The sequence below is a fragment of the Homo sapiens genome, chromosome 10, assembly GCF_000001405.40.
Source record: "Homo sapiens chromosome 10, GRCh38.p14 Primary Assembly".
Taxonomy (NCBI): domain Eukaryota; kingdom Metazoa; phylum Chordata; class Mammalia; order Primates; family Hominidae; genus Homo; species Homo sapiens.
Window position 1 is genome coordinate 80,031,100 of NC_000010.11, and position 3,883 is coordinate 80,034,982.

The 3,883-nt window shown below is 38.6% G+C and overlaps 1 pseudogene; it reads right to left on the minus strand.

Moving 5' to 3' along the window:
- On the minus strand, window positions 511-1,350 carry C1DP2 (C1D nuclear receptor corepressor pseudogene 2; annotated as a pseudogene).

Consider the following 3,883-nt stretch of genomic DNA (forward strand, 5'->3'; position numbering starts at 1 on the left):
AAACCAAGTATTGCATGTTTTCACTTATAACTCAGAGTTAAACCCTCGGTGCACACAGACATAAAGATGAGAACAAAAGACACTAGGTACGCCAAAAGAAGAGAAGGAAGGGGGGGAGGAAAGGGTTGAAAAACTATCTATAGGATACTAGGTTCACTTTTTGAGTGACAGGATCAATAAAAGCCCAAACCTCAGGACAATTGATTTGCAGTATGTGCAAATATATCCATGTAACTAACCTGCACATGAAACTTCAAATCTAAAATAAAAAATAAAATAAAATAAAGCAATGACTGGATTAAAACTTCTACCAAGAGATCATTTCAGTTGTCTACACTACTACAGAGGAAAAATAGTGTGTGCTTTTGCTACAACTGATGAGCTCAAAATAAATAAGAGAAAGAAGAAATAGACAGTGAATTGGGGAAGTAGCTAACTGTATCTGGAACTGCATCCAATCAGCTACATTAAATGGCCTTTATTGAGTATTTTATATGTGTCTGTGGATGGCATAAGTGTGTTATTTCATTGAAAATAGTACAAATATTTTCAAAGAACATTTCACTTAAATTTCACAGTTCCTAAGAAAATGCTACCTGCAAGACTGACCTACATAAAGAAATAAGAGTCTCTTCAAAAGAGATGGTAAATTGTAAATATAAAATATATCACAATGTTAAAATCCTCATAGTGCAAATCAATAAAGATAACAACCTTTGGAGAGGAAAGTATTGAGCTTTACAAATTTACTGTAAATTTACATATTAATTCAACAAGGAATACATTTAAACCTTGCTCTGTCACAGAATTACTTTGTGGGAAAAAAAGAGATGTACTTTTTGAATATGTGTACATCAAATCCAAAAAGTTAACTTTTACTTTTTCCTTTATGGGCAACTTTGGATGTATTTTTCGGTTTTGGTTCCCAGAGGGCATTTCTTACAAATCTTGAAGCTGCACCTCTGTCCAGCTTGCCAGCCTTTTTCTTGTCTGTTATTTCCTTGACTCTGTTCATATATACTCTGATTCTTTCCAATTCCTGCTTTACTGGATGTTCCTTAGGATTCACTCCTTGAGTTGCCAAATAAACCCAAAACATTGAATTTAATGTGTATGCAGAAACCAAATCCACTTTTGCTTGTTCAAGTGGGTCCAACTTCTGCAACAACTCATTTCTAGAAACAGACATCATGTTCTTCAGCATCTCATCCACAGCATCAATGGAATTCGCAAATGCTGACAAATAATCGTGAATTTCTACTGGATAGTCCTCATTAATTTCTTCAGCTGCCATCATGGCTGACTCACGGCCTTCGACTCCAGTGTCCTAGAAAGCAGTTGGGCAATGATGACATCAATGACGTGCCAGATCTAGAACAGAGTCTTATAAAAGTATTTCTCTACATTCCCAGAAATACATTTATTATAATTGCATCTTATGGCCCTTTTTTCAACAGAAGTAAACTTCCTGGAACATTGGAAGAGCACAAAATTTATTTTCTAAATGAAATATTCTAAGACGCTTGTCATTCTCTCAGGTTCAAAGCCTAAAGAGGTACACCAATAAAACAAGATTCACTATCCCATCGAAGATCATGGGGAGATGTTTGCTCAGGTGGTCACGTGATGTGCAGAAACAGAGGGAGACACAATTGAACTAAATAAAGAAAGACGTAGGCTGGACGCAGTAGCTCAGCCTGTGATCCCAAGACTTTAGGAGGCCAAGGCAGCACACTGCTTGAACCTAGGAGTTCTACATATATATATATATATATATATATAAAATATATATACATAATATAAATATATATTTTATAAATATAAACATATATTTATATACATTATATATAAATATATATTTATATATAATATATTATAAATATAAATATATGTAATATAAATATATATATAATATGTATATATATATTAAAAATATGTAATCCCGGCTACGTGGGAGGCTGAGGCAGGAGAATCGCTTGAACTCAAGAGGTAGAGTTTTCAGTGAGCCGAAATCTTGCCACTGCACTGTAGCCTGGGAAACAGAGGGAGACTCCATCTCAGAAAAAAAAAAACAGAACCAGATTTCCCACTGGCACTGACAGGGCTGGTATTCTTAAGGCAGTAACTTTGAATTTGCATCTGGACACATTTCCATTATTAAAAGAAAAAAAAGAAAAAATAAAAATAAATAAAACAACAAGAACAAAACATAAAACCAAGAAAAAGAGATGTCTGAAGATTACTTTACATCACTAGGCCTACACCCAAGGGTAGAGACCAAAGCACCAGCTGTTCTTCAGAGAAGAAACACGATGATCCAGATGAAAGAAAGATGTTTCCCAATGGGTTCAGATGTCCTTTTAGAATCAAGGGAATGTCCCTAGTATATGCCAAATCACTACTTAAAGTTTATCTGGTGGGGCATGGTGCCTCATACCCATAATCCCAGCACTTTGGGAGGTCGAGGCATGAGGATCACTTGAGCCCAGGAGTTTGAGGCCAGCCCTGGCAACACAGCAAGACCCCATCTCTACAAAAAATAAAACGACTAGCTGGTGTGGTGGTGCGACCTGTAGTCCCAGCTACTCAGGAGGCTGGAGTGAGAAGATCACTTGAGGCTGAGAGTCAGGGCTGCAGTGATTACAGGCATGAGCCACCGCGCCCGCCTTTTTTTTTTTTTTTTTTTCATCATGTAATACGTCCATGTAATGAAATTTATTTCTTACAGTGCTGGAGTCTGGGAAGTCCACAGTCCACGGGCTACAGCTGGTTGGCTTCTGGCAAGGGCCTCATCCTGCATCATAACATGGTGGACAGCATCACATGGAGGGAAGTTCGCAGGAGACAGAGCCGAACAGGCTTTTATAACAGACCCTCTCTCATGATAATTCACTCCCCATTATTCCTACTCACCCATTAACCCACTCACTCAGGAATGGATTCACCCATTCATGAAGGCAGGGACCTCATGATCCAATTATCTCTTAAAGGACCCACCTCTTAATCCTGTTACTTTGCAGACTAAGTTTCAGCATGAATTTCAGAGAGGACAAACAAATCATAGCACCATTTTAGTCAAATACACCTCAATAAGAATTTCACGATTTTACTTAATCTTTTCAGTGAATAAAGTATTTGATTTTGCAATTAGATTTTGATTATGGGATAGAATGCACAAATAAATAAACTTTGGTGGAAACTATAATTGTTTCTTTTTCTTCCACCTATCAGTCTAGGTATTCCTAAAACTCAACTTGACTTTTTAAAAAATTATAGAATGTACATGACATGCAAATAGGCAGATTTTTCCCCATGAGACTCAGCTTCTCCTATTCTTTTTTTTTTTTTTTCTGAGACAGAGTCTTGCTATGTTGCCCAGGCTGGAGTGCAGTGGCACGATCTCGGCTCACTGAAACCTCTGCTCCCCAGATTCAAGCAATTCTCCTGCCTCAGCCTCCAAAGTAACTGGGATGACTGGTTTCTGTCACCACACCCAGCTAATTTTTGTATTTTTAGTAGAAACAGGGTTTCACCATGTTGGTCAGCCAGGTCTGGAACTCCTGACCTCAGGTGATTCTCCCACCTCAGCCTCCCGAAGTGATGAGATTACAGGCTCGAGCCACTGCCTCCAGCTGTGACTTAAACTATCATAAACTCTAGAAAACAAGCCCTTTAGCATCAACACAGAGAACAGCCAGCAGGCTGATAGGAACTTACCATTTGAACTTTTGGCCAAATCCATACTGGGAAGGGAGGCCTGGATTCCAGAGTCTAGTGACTTCACAGAACAACTGCCAGGGACACAAGATACAAAAAAACGCAGGGTGGCCCACCCATCTCTCAAACTGCTGACATCAGGTGACCCGCCCCCCTCCGGACCCAA